Genomic DNA, 17,135 nt, shown 5'->3' with positions numbered 1-17,135 from the left:
GCCTCAAAGATTCTTTTTCCTTATGGTTTGTTCTCCCTTGTACAGAAGACAGCTTTGCACTGCCGTCTCTCCATGGGCCTCCCAGGACTTCTGCATCTCTCTACATCAGACAACCAACGTCTCTAAGCCTCACCCACAGCCTTCTAGCAAAGCATTTGATAGGTTAAGTATCTCGGGGCCCAATAGTGAGGGCTGTCTCATTTTGCCTGATGTTCATTTCATGGATCCCAGCTTATGGCGCAAGTCTTGAGAATTCATGGTATGGAACTTGGCACTTCAGTGCTATGAGCTGGTTGGATTGTGCCAGGAATTTAGAGTGTTCTGGATTCTTCCTAGTCCCAAGAAATTTGGTTTCCCCATAGGGCCCTTGAAGAAGACTGAAGCCTAAATCTTGCCACCAATCCTGTTCATGTTTTTGTTACCTAGCGCTGTTTGTGGCCCTCGCAAACTCATATGGTGAAATCCTAACTCCCAATGTGATGGTATTTTAGGGAGTAGGGTCTTTGGAAGGTAATTAAGTCACAAGGGTGGAGTCCTCCCAATGCCCTCATGAGAAAACAAATAAGAGCTTGCCCTCTCTGTGCTCTGCCATGTGAGGACACAGAAAACAGACAATCATCTGGCCGGGCGCGGTGGCTCATGCCTGTAATCCCAGCACTTTGGGAGGCCAAGGTGGGTGGATCATGAGGTCAGGAGTTCAAGACCAGCCTGGCCAATATGGTGAAACCCCCATCTCTACTAAAAATACAAAAATTAGCCAGGTGTGGTGGCAAGCACCTGTAGTCCCAGCTATTTGGGAGGCTGAGGCAGAAGAATCGCTTGAACCTGGGAGGCGGAGGTTGTAGTGAGCTGAAATCGCACCACTGCACTCCAGCCTGGTAGACAGAGCAAGATTCTGTCTAAAAAAAAAAAAAAAGAGAATCATCTGCAAGCTAGGAAGGTACCCTCACCAGATAAGGGATCTGCCAGCACCTTGGACTTCTCAAGCTCTGGACCTGTGAGAAACAAATGTGTGTTGTTTAAGCCACCCATCTATGGTGTTCTGTTATGGCAGCTCAAACTGACTGAGACACAGCAATGGATGGACTGATCCCCAGTGCCTCTGCATTGCTTCTAGTTTGGTGATGTTGAGGAGTGACCTTTGACACCTTTAAAATCGTTAATGAAAAAACTGGTTTTATTCACAATGATCCTTTGTGTATGGCCTATGCATCAGGAACCAAACGACTCCTTGAAGTCATGAAGTGAATAGATTGCATTTGAAAGAATGACAGCATTGGATACTAGACAAACAGGCCCTTACCAGGATAGAGATTCCAAAACATCTTTGATAGCCCATGCCAAGTACCCTCCATGTAAAACATTCTACTTGCTGTCTGTCAGCTAAAATACCTCATTTGTAGGCAGGAAATCACATTAGTAACCATGAAGCGATTTACCCAATGTTCGCACAGCAATTCATAGATTCAAAGTTTTCAAATCATAATATAACATTCTGATCATGAGATCAATGATTTCCAACTTACATGTGTAGACCAATCCCATCAGAATTATGTAGAAGCCACTTAAAAATCTAGATTGCTAGGCTTACTGCATTAAAACTCCTGAGAGGGGCCCAGGATTCTGTATCTTTAAACCTGCCAGAAGTTTTTATGTGCAGCCAGGTTGGTAAACTACTAAAATTCATGCTACCTTCTCATGCTAGTAAGGTGTAGAAACCAGAGAGCGAGATCATCCACCTCACAGCCCTGTAACTGTCCCATTTGGTCTTTGCTAAGCATCCAGTCTTTTGGCTAGGGTTGTTAGTTGAGCGTTCTTGCTCTGTGATTTCTTCCTTACACTGTAAATGGTATCACGAGGAGTCGGGGTTAGGGGAAGGTTTGTATTTATTTTCCCTCTAACTTCTCCAGACAAATCAGCACAATTTCCAAGTTAGAAGGTGCGTTTCCCAATTTCCAGAACTTATGGTATCCACCTAATGCTGAAAACCCAGCTGTGCTCTTTCTGCTTCTTACATCATTGCTAGAAATAAAGATCTTGTCATCAAAACTTGGCTGAAAGTTTGATTGATGTTGCTTGAGGCACACATAGTCCACCCCATCCTTCTATCACCATTGTAGGGTTTTCGAGAGTAACATTTATTTTCCATTTGTGAAAATAAAAGTATGATTTGTTGAGTCCCAGAGAATTATCATGTCTTTGCTGACCAAGGGGACCTGATGTCTCCAGTGGGTACTCCCTCAGGAATAATAACAACAACAGAAAAACAATAACACATAGAGCACTTAAGTGCTAACTATTGTATAGGAAAATATACATCTATACTATTTTGTCCTCAGACCCACTCTGTGTGATAGGGACTATTATTGTTTAAGTTCTTGATTCCCTCACTCCAGATATTAGCCTCCTCAACCATCCCCAACTCCGTAAATGATACTATCATCTGCCCTGTTGCTCAAGCTTGGAACTTAAAAGCCATCACTGATTCTATTCTTCCTCTCAATCTTACCTTTTTGGTCACCCCATCTGCTTTCTTCTAACCCATCAACAAGTCCTGCTTTACCTCCCAGGTGTTTCTGAAAATTGTCTCTATACTTCAGCATTACCACAAACATTAACACAAGCCACCAACTCTCACCTCTTAACTGGACACCCCACTTCTCCTTCAGATCCCTTCCCAGCCAGTCAGCAAAGATTAGTCGGAGGGAACTTTCAAAAAAATAAATTTCCCTGTGTAGAATATTTCAATTGCTTCTGTTAGGATGAAAAATGAAATCCAAACTTCTTTCTTTAGCCTACGAGGTCCCGTGTGTTCTGGTTCCATTTTCTCCAACTTTATTCAATGCCACATTCACCTTCCTTAATACACTTCACCAACACTGGACTTAGAATCCCAAGCACAACCCATGACCTTCCCAGCCTCAAGAGTTGGTGCCATTCTCTCGAGTCATGATGCTTTTCTTTTTTTTATCTTCTCCTGACTGGCTCCTTTTCTTTCTTCCTATCTAAGCATAATTCTTACCACCCAAAAGCATCCTTATTTTGCCCCTCTAACTTTTTCTTTTTTAATCAAAGCATCTTTTTTCCTTTCATAGGATGCATACCCTGAATTATTTTGTGTATTGGTTTTACTTGCTTATCATCAGCTCCCACCATGGAAAAGAGTTTGGTGAGGGCAAAGCATTATTTGCTATGATATTCCCAGTATGCAGCACAATGCCTGGTACATAATAGCTGTCAATAAATATTGGTTCAATGAATGTATAAATGTTTATTTTATAGATGAGGTAAGATTTAGAAACATAAAATAACTTGCCTGGGGTTATCTAATTGGTTGATGGCAGAGCAGGGATGTGCACTATGATGAGTCTCATGCCAAATGCCTATATTATAAAATGGAAGCATTCAGGTTTCTACCAATGGAGCTATGGATAAATTACCTCTCTTCACTTAGTGCATTTGTGCTGAGGATCCCCAAATCTTATCATTTAGAATATCCCTAAAAAGAAGATGTAAGGGAAAGAGGCAATTGCATGATTTCCATTGCATGAATTAGAAAACTAAAGCATTAATTAGTTGTTTTGTCTGATACATGGTCCATTTTTGAACTGAAGTTAGAAAGCCTTTTCACTCCGAATACACTTTAGCCTCTTACTACACACAGTGTGGTACCTAGAGCAGCAATATTAGAATCACCAGGGAGCTTGTTAGAAATAAATCTCAGGATCCACTTCAGACTGACTCAACAAGAATGTGCATTTTAAAAGGACCCCCAAATAATTCCTATGCATATTAAAGACTGAGAAACAGTGATCTAGACCATTTTAAAAGACACGGTTCTCTACTTAGCCCCAAACAGAACCATCAGCACTTCCAAACCCCATGCCAGTTTTCCTCTAACAAATTGCAGGCCTGGTTTCCCAAGCCAATATCCTAAATAGGGAGCAAGCAGACTTCAGACATGGTAAGTCTACAGCCCATCATAGTTATTGTGCACTCTCTAATACCAGGTCTCCTGATGTCCTATTCTAGCCCTTTCTACAGGATAAGAAATAGCATCAGCAGGACTATCCAACAAGACATATTAGATTTGGCCTTCTTCCCTGACAAAAAAAAAAAAAAAAAAAAAAAAAAAAAAAAAGCCCCTTACAAAGCTCTTCTCACATGTAAAATAGAGCCTCTCTGAAAAAATGAGCCACCTGCTAACTCCTAAAAGTGTGTAGACCATTTTACTTCCATGTCCCGCCCCTCACTTTTATCTTTGGACTTTCTTCTAAATCTTATGTCTCCAGATTGGCAGGTACAATAATGCCTGGTCCCTAGGTCTGAACACCTAAACCCAAGTTTGGGGCCCCTTCTCCATTTTCCATTGCTGATGTCTTAATCATCTACATCTCCTTTCCTCGTCTCTCTCACATCAAGTTCAACAGCTCCTACTTCATCTATTTTCATGAGTTTCTTCCATTCTCCATGCAGCCAACAGATTTTTCTGCCAAATATGCCCAGGTTACACCCCAAACTAAAAACAACATGAGGTTTCTCCATTTCATGTGATTTAAACACAAATGTATACAATAGCTATTAGCATTATTTCACAAAGTCCAAATATCAATTCTCATCAGTGCATGGTTGAGAAACTGGAAATTACACCAAAATTCAGGGGTGAACTGGACTTGAAACATGAAAACATTTAATAGGAACCTCTTTCTTTAACCATTCAATTACTTGTCCATTTATACATTCATTCAACAAATATTTATTGAGCACCGAGAATATGCCTATTTATTATATTAGGTCTTGCGGTTGTAAAAACAAATAGAAATATTATAATAGGGTTGGAATACTGACCTGACAGAGCTGCCAACACTGCCTGCAGACATGAAGAATAACAGTAAAGGAAGCCTTTGAGTGGGTTCACCAGGTAGAGGAGCAGAGGAGGATATGCCAGGCAGAGGGAACAGTGCAGGTGAGAACCCAGAGATTTTCAAAAGTCTTAGCCAAAACTGTAAATGGAGAAATGGAGGAAATATGCATATCCCCTCCACCTCTCCTTCCCTCCCTCTCTTTTCTACCTACTGTTGGGGAGAGTCAGGGCAGGGGAAGAGCCTGAGGGAAGTCCACTGGAACAAAATTCTGGCAGAAAAGAGCAACACACTGTATACACTCAACTTCAGGGGGCAGGCTGATCTCATTTGTAAGAACTTTTGCATCTTCACAAAGTTTTCAGCACAAGAATTCCTCCAGGTATTGTTATATTTCTGTTCCTGATCAGTCTGACTCACAGACAGGCGTGATTGAAAGTGCTCACAGGTATATACACACACTCACACCCTCACCTGGGAATTAACTTAACCACTGCAGGTCACTGTTGCTCCTTGAGAAAGCAAAGTTATTTGCATTGTCCCTTATCTGGAAGCCATAGCAATGATAAGACCCTAGTTTGCTAATGTGTTATCAGAACTTCTAAAAAGTTGTGGTATACCTAAGGACCTGGAATATACACAGGTGGATCCTGCATTGGCCATACTCCTGACATTACATCCCTTGATGTGGGCTGGAAGAAAAAGAGCTGATTAGCATTTACGTTGCCCTGACTGAAAAGGGAGAATCGGAAGTCATGGTGGCTTCAGCAGGCCTTTAGTGGCTGCACCTGGGAGATTCCCATCAGGAAGAATGTGTAGCAGCGTGGCTGAAAGCAGGTGCTTTGGAATCAGGAGATGTTAGAGCTCTAGCCTTGGTGCTTAATAAATCTCTAACTTTAAAAAAATCACATAACCTCTATTATTCTCAGCTTTCCTAGCTGGAAAATAGGGATAGTCATACATTCTTCACAGGGTAATGAGTAGATTATGTGAGGCAGTATATTTAAACCACGCAGTACAATGAATAGCACATGACCATGATCAATAAGCAGCAGAAATTACTAGCTATCCCTGATGATCAGAAGATCTGCTCAGCCACACTCCTCTCTCTCTCTCTCTCTCTCTGTGTGTGTGTGTGTGTGTGTGTGTGTGTGTGTGTGTGTGTGTGATGAGTATGGAATGTTAACATTCTGCTCATTTTCTCCACCCTACTTAATTCTTCGTATTTCTGTCCCACCCAGAATCCCTCAGGAGACAGTTTATGAATCAGTTTGGCCTGGCTTGACCCCATCACTAGAGAGCAAAAGCAAAACCACAACCAAAATGTTCACTCAATGGGCTTGAAGAAAGGGTGAGCCAGAGACACAGGAGGAGTAGGACAAACGAAGACCAGAAAGAGCAGCAGGGGGTGAAGTTACAGGTTGAATAAAGTCCTACTGGTTTATATAAAACAATTAAGCTCTTACTCAAGTTTTTAAAAATGTACTCTGATTAATAGATATTAGCAGTCAATATAAAACAGAAAGTTTTACAATATGATGCTCTCTAGTTTGAGGTTGAAGTTAATAGGGAAATTTATGAATTCAACAAGGGCTGAGTTTGAAGTGAGAGCATGGATGCCAGTCACCAGGCCCCTTGTAGCCCGCAGTCAAGATCTGGCCTGCACCCAGGTGTGTATGTGAATGGCTAAGTCTTGGGGCAGAGATTCAATCACTGTGAAGCCAAAAGGGGCTTTAATAAATTAGCCTGAAGCACACATTATCCTACAATGGCAAGATATTTGAGGATTTCAAGGATAAATTTTGAAGGTATTTACTATAAACACTAATTATAAAGCCAGGCAAGGTCTTATTGGAAAGAAAACAAATTTCTATTTCTCACAGATACATGAGTGTACATAGAGATTAATGTGTGTTCTTTCCTTGAGCAATCATAGATAGAACATGTGTATATAAGTGTATAGGTTTAGCACCTATTCATTAATGTATAGGCACACCGCTATGACACAGAGCTTAACAATTAGGTAGATTACTTTTATAATTTTTTAAAAGCTATGAATCCAGGATACTTAATGAGTTTTAGCTTGCCTTAGCTGCACATTTTCAGTTTATTAACCAAGTCTTTCTTTCCCTTCCTAGGATAGGATAAAATCAGTTTGAATCTTCCAGAGTTTCAAGCTATGGTTCAAAAAGATCAAGAGCCTAAAAATCTGGGTAATGTCTCCAGGACATGCCCTTGCCCTTCTCCTTCCAGACCAGCCTGACTTTATTTGCTCATCCTAATTTTTTAAATTATGACCAGATCTATCTTGCTGATTATTTTGTTTCTTTTTCCCCCTCTTTCCCCTATTTTCCTTGATCTATTTGAAGCCACTGTAGTACTTGAGTTGTCAGCAGGATGATATAAAGCAGACAGAGAGTGTACTAATTGGGGGAGAATAGTACATTTTTTTTTAATTTAATAAAGTTTCTATTTTGGTGTGTTTTCTTTTATAGGCAAGGGAAATGCACTTTTTCTGCTGGTAATTGAAGACCTGTACCTCTGACCTCGAATGCCAATTCCAGTCTTCCTGGACTCTGTGCTTTTTTTTTTTTTTAATTTGTTTTGTTTTGTTTTGTTTTTAGCATAGGAACCAACAACAGATGGGAGACAGTGGCCAGTGACAAAAATGTAGCTGAGTATACTCCTTGTTAAAGAAGAAATTTCCCTATTGCACCAGAAGGATAGCTCAAACAGCAACAGTTATTTTGTAAGAGCCATTAACCTGGTAGAAATTATTATGGTGATGATGATGATGGTAATGATAATGATGATGGTGATGATGATAAACAGCAGCAGTGTTGATGAACTGAAGCTTAATATGACCAAAAATTTTGCTCAGTTCTTTCCATCTATTATCTCATTTATTCCTTACAAAAACCTGTAAGTACACCTATTATTTCTATCCTGTAAATTAGAATAATGATGTTCACTACAGATCAGTAACTTGCTCAAGGTCAAAAAGCTAATAAATAGCGGAGTTGAGATTCAAATTTAGATCTCAATAATGCCAGAGCCTGTATAATTAACCAGTAAATGAGGAGATAAATCTTGGACTAAGAAAACCCTTCTTAGCCATTTGACTACATTACCTTCTTTAGAAGTTTTAGGGATGTGTTTAATTCTAAAACTTAATTCTAGAAATTCCAAAAAAATTTTCCCAATATTCTGTCTTCAAGGGAGAACTAGACCCAGTCTCCTTGAATGTGAATGGAAAACAATGGACCAAAACCCATCAAGAAGGAAAGAACAAAACCTTGGCTGTTCATGCGGACCAAAAGTTCACCAAGTATTACTCTAACAGTGCCCTAAATACTGTCTACTAAGTCCATGTCTGTGCAGCATTTGTGTTTTAATATATCACTGCTTTTTTTCTGATGGTAATAAATTGTTATGTATCTACCACTTCTCGCAATGATGTTTTACCAAAGTGTTGCTCTTCTCATTGGTTCTGTTGAGATAGAAAATAAAATAGAAACGTTTGGAGCTAGAAATCACTCAATTATTTCCCTTTATTTTACAAATGCAGGAAAGGGCTGAGAGAAATGAAGTGATTTGCTGAAACTAAAAGCATTTTTAGCCAATAGCACAGTTTTTGGAGTCAGAATGGTTTTCATCCTAATTTTACCATTTATTGGCTGAGTGATCATGGGCAGGCTACTTAAACACACTGAATCTCAGTTTCCTCATCTATAATAGGGGATAATAATAATACACTAAAATATTATAATTACTATATCAAATTATATACTATTATATAATAATATATTTTACTATACTATTATTTTGTTAAGGATAAAATGTATTACTGTTATGAGAAATTATGGGGTATTGTGTACAAAATACTTAGCATATATAGCACATAGTGACAAATCATCATCACCACAGTCATCCTCATCAATACCCAACAGAACAGAGCCCAGCCTTTAAGCTTTTTAACACTCTGCCACACCAATCTTTCTGTGTGTGTGGAAATGGGTCAAACACACATGCCCAGCTCCAGCCCATCTCAGGCTCTCCCCCAATTTAGGTCAGACAAGGCTCCACTAAAGGCATTCACCAACCAAACATTTGTTAAACAATAAATAGTCACAATGTGGGGCCTATTAATTTCAGCCTTGACCTTCATTTGTGTTTATAGAACTTAAACAGATTTACGTACTTTGGAAAAGTTGATGCTGTGGGCAACCCTCAGAAAGGATGGATGTTTACAATTACCCACAAGAAGATCTGACACTATAGCACCCCACAGATGGCATCTTGACGAGTGACTTATAGAAACAGAGATTGACTAACTAAAGTTGGAAGGTTTGAATCGTTTAGAAGTTAAATTAATTATGGGCTCTAATGACGTTAACCTAACCTTCACACAAAGATAACACATAATGAGAAAAAGGCAACCATGGAAGTGAAAGATAAGGGAGAATATAATATGGTTTTATTGACAAAATACAAGTCAAACACACTTACTTTAGCTTCCCAGGAAATCAGGTTAATGAAACAGCAGAGGAGTGATTAATGATGATGTGTATGTGGAAGTAAATTGCATGGGAGGAAAAAAGAAAGGGTCTTAAAAGAGAGTTTGTGCCTATTATACAATGTGAGGAGGAAAGAACTCCTGAAACTACATATACTTTACAACCTCCTTGGAGTTACAATTCTGCTTACATTTTCTCTATTACCTTCAAAAATAAAAAAGTCTCAGAGACGTGTTAAAATCTACCATGCAAAAGTGTTGCTACAAAAATTTTAAAAAGAGAAAAATCTTATTCTGGATCTTTCAGGAAAGTCAAAATCTCATAACTGATGTTAATCTAACAGGATCAAAAGTTCGACTAGACCAGTGCTTCTTGACCTTGGCTGTACATGGTAGCGACTTGGGGAGCTTTGGAAAATACTGATGTCTGGGCCCCACCCCCAGAGATTCTGATGTAATTGGTTTGGGGTGTGATCTGGACATTAGGATTTTTTAAATCTCCCTGGGTGATTCTCATGAGCAGCCAAGTATGAGAAGCATTGTTCTGGTGAGCTTGTTGAGAGGTAATCGTTTTTCTGTTACCATTAACTTGCATAGAGTGGTACTAATCAGGCATAAATGTCTGTTGAATAAATAAAATTGAAACTGTCTTTGAAGAATGAGCTTTCTTTCTATGTTGTTGAGATAATTGTTAGAAAAAAATTACTTATATATGTTTAAAGTTCTCATTCACTCTAAAGCATTTGAAACAGGGATCTCTATCACCGCATAAGAAAAACCTCTCCTTTCCTTTACTATTTTTAGCATCAACTTTAACATCAAAATTCTATCATAAGTTTGCTTATAAATGCAATGCTTTTACCCATTTAGAAAGTATTGAATACCTGCCAATAAGTAGCTAGTCACTGGGCACACGATGCTAAGCAAAATATTCATGGTCTATTCGTGAATATAGATGAGTAACCAGATCATTTGTAATCAGTGAGATAAGTGATATCATCAGAGAAGTTTGGTGTACAATGGCAGCCTATGAGAGGAGTCCTACAGTCTAGGGAGACCTGGTAGGCTTCCTGGACAACATCATACCTGCACTAAAAATAAGAGAGTAGGAGTTAGTCAAGCAAAAGGTCACTGTCACGGAGAGCTCTGGGAAGAAGGAATTCCATGTCTGAAGGCCCTAACTGCCACGGCTTCCACGAAGATATAAAAGAAGTCCAGTAGTATTAGAGCCTATGCTAAGAAGGTTGTGTAAGAGCTGAAGGGTCTGCCAGGGAAGATAGTGAGCAATGAGGCTGGAGAAGTAAGCGAAGCCCTGCTAGATTGTGCAGACACTGAAACTATCTTAATATTCAACTTTTCCCCTTAAATAGAGTGGCAGGTAGGCTGGTCATTCATTTTCATGTGGGGAAATAACATAATTGGATTTGAGTTTTTTGAAGGCCATTTTTGCTGCAAAGTGGTGAATATGTTGAAGGAGAAAAGACTGGAGACAGAAAGATCAGTTCAGAGGTGAAAAATGATAATAGTCTATTATAGAGACTTGGCAGCAGGGATGGAGAGAAACAAGCATATCTGAGTCAGTAAGATAATGACACTCAGAGTTGATAACTGATTTGAGAGAAGGTAAAGGGCGCTGAGGAGTCTCAGGTGATGTGCAGGCACCCGGTTCAACCAGCTTCATGGAACACAGAAAGATATGCATATTTGAAAGGAATTATAATAGGCTCTGTTTTGCATAGTTAAGAGTTTGAGATGTAGACACGATATCCAAGCAGCAATATCCATAGGCAGTTGGTCTTATGGGCCTTATGGCCCTTAAGGGAAGATACTATAGTGGCAGGTATGAATTTAGGAATCATCAGCACGCAGATGGTAACTGAGGCTACAGGGTGAATGAGCATCATGCCTGACAAGTTGGAAAAGAGAACTCAGAGAAACATCAATTTTAAAGAAATAGGCAAAGGAAAAAAAGCTAGAAAAGGAAATCAAGGGTGGACAGACAGGAAGAAGGAACATCAATCAGGGAGCAAGATGGAAGAGAATCAAGGAAGAAGAGTTTCAAGAAGGAAGGTGTGGCCAAAACACTATAATAAAGATCCTGACTCCATTTTTAAGATTGGACAGCCCAGGTCTTATTTATGTGTCTGTCTTTATTCCTAACCCAGAGACTGGCATAGAGCATGCAGGGGATGAATATGCCATCCGTGCCATCCCTGGGTAGAATGAGACAAAGCTGGAACAGGGACATCAGAGGAAGTCAAATCCAGCACTTATCATTCTTTTGTCTTGAAACTATGGACTTGAAAAGAAGCAGGAAGGGAATGTATTTGGCTGATATTTTAGTAATTGTTTCCTTCCTTTAAAAAAAAGATGAACAAAAAGTAATATAGCATATGTATTGAAAATACATAGCATGTGTATTGAACTTCAAAGTTTGTAAAATGCTTTCACGACATTACCTGACATTCAGCCTCAAAACAACATTGTTGGATAGAAATAGTTACTACTTCACATATTATAGATGCAAAAACTGAGATACATGGATGTTGAGTATTTTGCTCAGGGTCATGCCCAGCAAGTTTCAAATATAACTCCCAAATTTTTGTTTGTTTGTTTGTTTGTTTTACTACACTGTACAGTAGCATAAAATTAGCATGTGCCCATTCTCTCTGGATTGATTTCCCTTCTGCTTTTCTCAATTTCTTCTCTTTGTGCTTGCATATCATAGAAAGAAGTTGAGGGCCTCATTTGTACAATGCTGGGCTTTTTCCACATACAAGGAACCAGGCTGACATAGTTCACTGAGTAAACATGAGCAGCAAGTGGCAGTGATTTATGCCAGACTTGCAAACTTCTGATTACCAATCCGCCACCTGCTATGTAAACAGATGTAAACTAAGATTTAATCAGCTTACATAACGTGGTAAATAATTTAATCTTTCCTCAGAATGGTGCTTGTGAATGTCAACGTTTAAGCCCAAACTGATGCTGACATTGTGATGCAAGCATCCACTTTCTCAGTCAGAAAAGCTGTGTCCACAAATGCCCCTCAAACCCAGAACTCCACCCAGAGTTCTGGGTGGAGGCCTCGTTTTTTCCCAACATAAAGCTGAGACATGGCCCAGAAAACTGGTGATGATCTTGCTGTCTTTAATTCCTCCTGGTCCTAAGACATTTCTCTGGCCCCCTGGTCATTTATTCTTCATGGCACTATTCTGCAGATATCTGAGGTGGCTGCTGGTGTGTAAAAAAAAGAGGCAAGACTAGAGAGAAAAAAAGCAAGAAAACAGCAGCCTTCAGGGTAATTGTAGTAACATTTTCACTTGAAGATTACCTGGGTACTCACTGTCTATCAGTGCATGCCTATGCAAATTGCCTCTAGATGCTATGAAAATCACATGCAAATGTGCTCTTGGTTGTCAAAAACTGTTTACTACACCTGCTAGAGCCCACTGAACCAGGGAGTGTTGCCTCCTATGAATTTTTCATCAGTATTGTTTATGTTCTAATCAGCCTGGCCCTTCCCTCTGGTGGAAAGGGCAGGGTATGGGCTTGGTCTTCCCCTCCCACATATGAGCCTGGGCCTTTTCTAGAGTGGAAGGCCCTGGGAGAGGCCATTGCTCTAATGGCCAAATGTTAACATGGTTGAGAGATCAACTAGAGAAAGGGTAAATGTGAGTCAGATAGTTTCCTGATATTTTTTTCTGTCCCTTTAGACCATCCTAGCTTACAAGCAAAGGTTGTATGCCCTGGCACCACTGGTAATACCATGGCTAGGATTTTGTTAGTTCAAAAACAAAATCTTAGAAGAATACATATCAACAGGCTTTCAACTAAGTGCTAGGTAAGAAACAGATTTGGTTTTCTCTTGTAGCTACATAATTTACGGTAGAGAAAGAATAGCTACTATTTCCTAAATGCAAGGAGTTTCTTTTCCTGAAAGCTTTTTGTTCACTCAGAAAAAGTTTCTTTTCCTGAAAGCTTTTCGTTCACTCAGAAAAAGTTTCTTTTTCTGAAACCATTTATTGAGTAATTGGCACAAGCCAGGCACTGGGCTGGATATTGAGTTAACCTTGAGTTGGATATTGAGTTGAAGGTTGAATTATCCTTCAACTCAACATGGATGCAAGCATTATTCTAAACTTAAAAGGATAAGAATGAGACCTAGAAGAAAGGAAGGAGACCAAGACCCAAAGAGTTAAGTAACTTGCTTGAGGTTACTCAGCTGATAAAGGGGAGATGAGGATTTGAACCCCAAGATGACTCTCTTGGAAGCCTTTCCTCTTAAATTACATTATAAAGCTTTTGTTCTTTCGGATCCCCCACGACATTGGAGGAAAAGTGTTTCTTGCCATGGGTCTAGGAGTGCACATACGTAAAATTCAGGAAGAAGAAAGGAGAAAGATATAATAACAATATTAATAGCCAAAATGAGTTGAGTTTTATATTTTTAAAATAAATTTACTGAATTTTATGTTTGATTGATATAATTCATTTAGTTCCTACCTCAGCCCTAACTGGCGGATATTTTTAATCATCATCTCCTTTTTACAGAAAGAAAATTGAGGCAGAGAAAGGAAACTTCCCAATATCCACAGCTCATAAGTGTCTGCACTGGGGACCAGGCCAGGCCTGCAATTGTAAACTGGACTGATGAGTATATGCAGGCACAGAGTTGGATTCAGGTAACACATATAACACCTGAGACGCTGCTAACTCTTACTTTCAAGAAAAGCGATCATTAGGGCAGAAATTATTTTAAAAAGTATGCAAGTGAGACTGTGGGATCTTCTATTGGAGAGAATATATTTACAGAAAGCACAGCAGGTTGCCTGCCTGTCATGACTGGAGAATATAGCCCTGCAGGTAAAGAGAGATTATACAGAAAAACAAACATAACAAGCAGCGAGGTAGGTAGAACTCCAAAGACCAGGAACATTCAACTTACTTCCTGACTTTACCCTCTGCACTTTCTGCCACATAGTACCCTGGTTTGCATTCATATTTGCAGATGGTGCCCACGTCGTGGTTGTCCTGGAGGCAGTGAGGCAGGAGCAAGTTGGCATTCAGAATAATAGGGGGAGCATCACACTCCAACTTGCAGTAGACTTCAGGGAGAGACCAGAGACCATCTTCAAGACATGTCAGCCATGGGCTCAGTCCTGACTCCAGGAAAGAGAAGCACAAGATGCTCAGAACAGAGAGCCCAGAAAGATAATCATAGCAGATGAAATAAAAACCTCTGAACTTACTGGTGCCTTTCAAAAGTCATATTATTCTTTCTTGAGTAGCATCTCAAAAATCCCACATCAAATGTTAGTCCTACATCTTTTTACTTACAGAGCATCCAGTGTGATGCTCTTACATAAAACAGAGGTCAGATAAATCTTTCTTGACCCAAATGAAAGAAGGGCTACCAACTAAATCATTACTTCTTTTCCTACCTACATATAATAAAAATATAGCAGTGATGTTATCATAGAAAGCATTAAAATAATAGTAGATGACACTTTTATAGTGCTTATTATATGGCAGGCACTATTCTAAGCATTTTACATGTATTAACGTGTGTAAATTTCAAACCTCAAACAACCCTATGAAATAGATCCTATTATTATCCCCTATTATGCAGATCAGGAAATTGGGGATCGGTAACTTGCCCGAACTAGTAAGGGGCAGAATCACGGTTTGAACAGAGGCAGTTTGGATGAAGAGTTCTGTATTTAAACACTATACCATATGCCTTAGTACAATTCATGGTTTCTCCGAATGCAGTCCATGGACTATTCACCATAACATCATTATCTCACCCCAGACTCACTAAGCAAGAATCTCTTGGAGAAAGGTTCAGGAATCTGCAATTATAGCAAGCCTCCTGAGTCATTGTTAGGCACACCAAAGTCTGAGAAGCCATCAGCTAGAGCAGGCTCCACTCCATCTTCATCTCTAACCAGCACTAAAGCCAGGGACAAATTCACACATTGCTCAAAGGATGGCTGTAAATATTAAATTTTAAAATGTGCACAATAAAGTGTATCTTGATTATGAATATTATCAGGACAACCATTCCAGTAGGCTTGCCTCTGGGGTACACACTGTCAAATAAAAATAGAGGAAAGTCTAAGATTCCTTCATTCATTAGAACCTGAGCCAGTGCATCCTTTCAAGTAGTTGGGGACAAAGAGTGGTGTTGCCTTTTGGGACTTTTCTGGAGTTATCAGAAGATGGTGACACAGTGGAGCAAATAGGAAAGGTGTTGGGGTAACGAAAAGAGTCCCAAAGTACCCTCAAGAGCGAGGGATGGCAGAGAACTTGCATACAGTTCCTGGTTGACCAGACAATACCTTGCAGCTTGGCTGGTGGGACACAAGAGATTGAGCAGCGTTTCAGAAATTTGGTTCCCTCTGAGCAGGAGAAGTTTGCATAGTTCACCAAAGACGGGTCGGGAACACCGCAGTCCACGGGAAGGCAGCTCACATTCTGGTCCCAGTGCCCAGAAGAACATGTGAGCAGAATTTCCTTCTAGAAACAGAGAAATTGCTTCTGTCAAAGTCACATTAAAAGGCGTATCAGAGTAGTTTCCAGGCTTTAGAAGAGTCTTGGTGATTATCTGTCTAAACATTTAAAACGGGACAAATTATTTTGCCTTTCTCCCTCTTCAGGCCTCACTGTTTTAATATACATTCTTACAACACTCAGTATGATGCTGATAAAAGAAGCCTGCTAGTGTCAGAGAATCACGACATGGCAAGACTCCTCCAGGCCAGCTCTGTTGTCTGCTTTCCAGTTGCTCCTCCAGACCTGTTCTCTACCCTTCTCTACTCTGCTCTGGGCCAGGGAAACTGACTCCAGTGGGTTTCATGCCTCTGACTTGTACTTGCATTCAGATCCAGGACACAGTGTCAGCAGCCTGGAGAGGGAGAGGAGAAGAGGGAGGCCAGGGTGCTGATTCTCCCCACTCTCTCCCAAGGGTCGCTGCAGATTGGCTGCATCTTCTGGAAGCCTGCTCTACACAGTTTCTGCTCCTTCCTGTGATTCTGCACTCCTAAGGTAAACCTTTCAGGCCTAGGGGTGATGACTGAGTCCCTTCACCTGGGATACTGCACCATCGCCTTGTGATTTTCCTATATCCTGCCTGCACATTTATGAGTGGTCTCTTGATTAAATTCTCTCAAATTGCCCACTTTTGAGTATGTCATCTGTCTCCTGCTGGCACTCTTATTAATAAGCCAGCTGATAATGCTACTGAAAATAATTACCTCCACTGAGAATGGTGCTGAGAGTTAATGCATACAAGGCATCTTCCAAACCTTGTGGTTAAATGTGAGAGATTCTAGCCATTTCCTAGTGCCTGTCATTTCAGTAGGGCAGCCCTACAGCACACTGCTACTAATTCAATCAAGAGATATTTATCGAGCACCTAAGAGGGCCAGGTCCTGTCCTAAACAAAATATCCTCCGGGAACTAAAAATCGACCAGGCAAGCAAATCACATGTTGAAACAACGGTTCAAAAACATGTGAAGGAGGAAGAATAGAAAGGAGAAAAGGAGGGAGAAAGGCAGAAAAGAAAGTAAAGAAGGAAATGTTAGAGCTACATTTTGGTTTGTTATATCCTATCCCCTTCTGTAATGGTTGGAAAGAATGCCATATAAAGACTGAAAACCATAAAACAGAAGTAGAAAACTGGGATCAAGAAGAAAGAAAACACAAATATGCAACAATAAAGCCATATTGTATAATGCATGCTCCTGTGTGA

At 40.0% G+C, this 17,135-nt stretch overlaps 1 protein-coding gene across 6 annotated transcripts in view; it reads right to left on the bottom strand.

The window, feature by feature from the left end:
- The window catches only part of PAPPA2 (pappalysin 2), a 382,427-nt gene that overhangs the window by 60,095 nt on the left and 305,197 nt on the right, over nucleotides 1-17,135 (bottom strand). For all 6 annotated transcript variants that reach the window (XM_047427180.1, XM_017002024.2, XM_017002023.2 and 3 more), the window contains 2 exons: nucleotides 15,723-15,900; nucleotides 14,327-14,540 (listed from right to left, as the gene is read on the bottom strand). In XM_047427180.1, coding sequence (XP_047283136.1) covers nucleotides 14,327-14,540; nucleotides 15,723-15,900 — 392 coding nt within the window. The remainder of the gene's footprint in view (nucleotides 1-14,326; nucleotides 14,541-15,722; nucleotides 15,901-17,135) is intronic.

Source organism: Homo sapiens, chromosome 1 (genome assembly GCF_000001405.40).
Source record: "Homo sapiens chromosome 1, GRCh38.p14 Primary Assembly".
In the NCBI taxonomy this organism is placed as follows: Eukaryota; Metazoa; Chordata; class Mammalia; order Primates; family Hominidae; genus Homo; species Homo sapiens.
The sequence above is the reverse complement of the archived record's forward strand: the minus strand, read 5'-3'. Positions and strand labels throughout refer to the sequence as shown.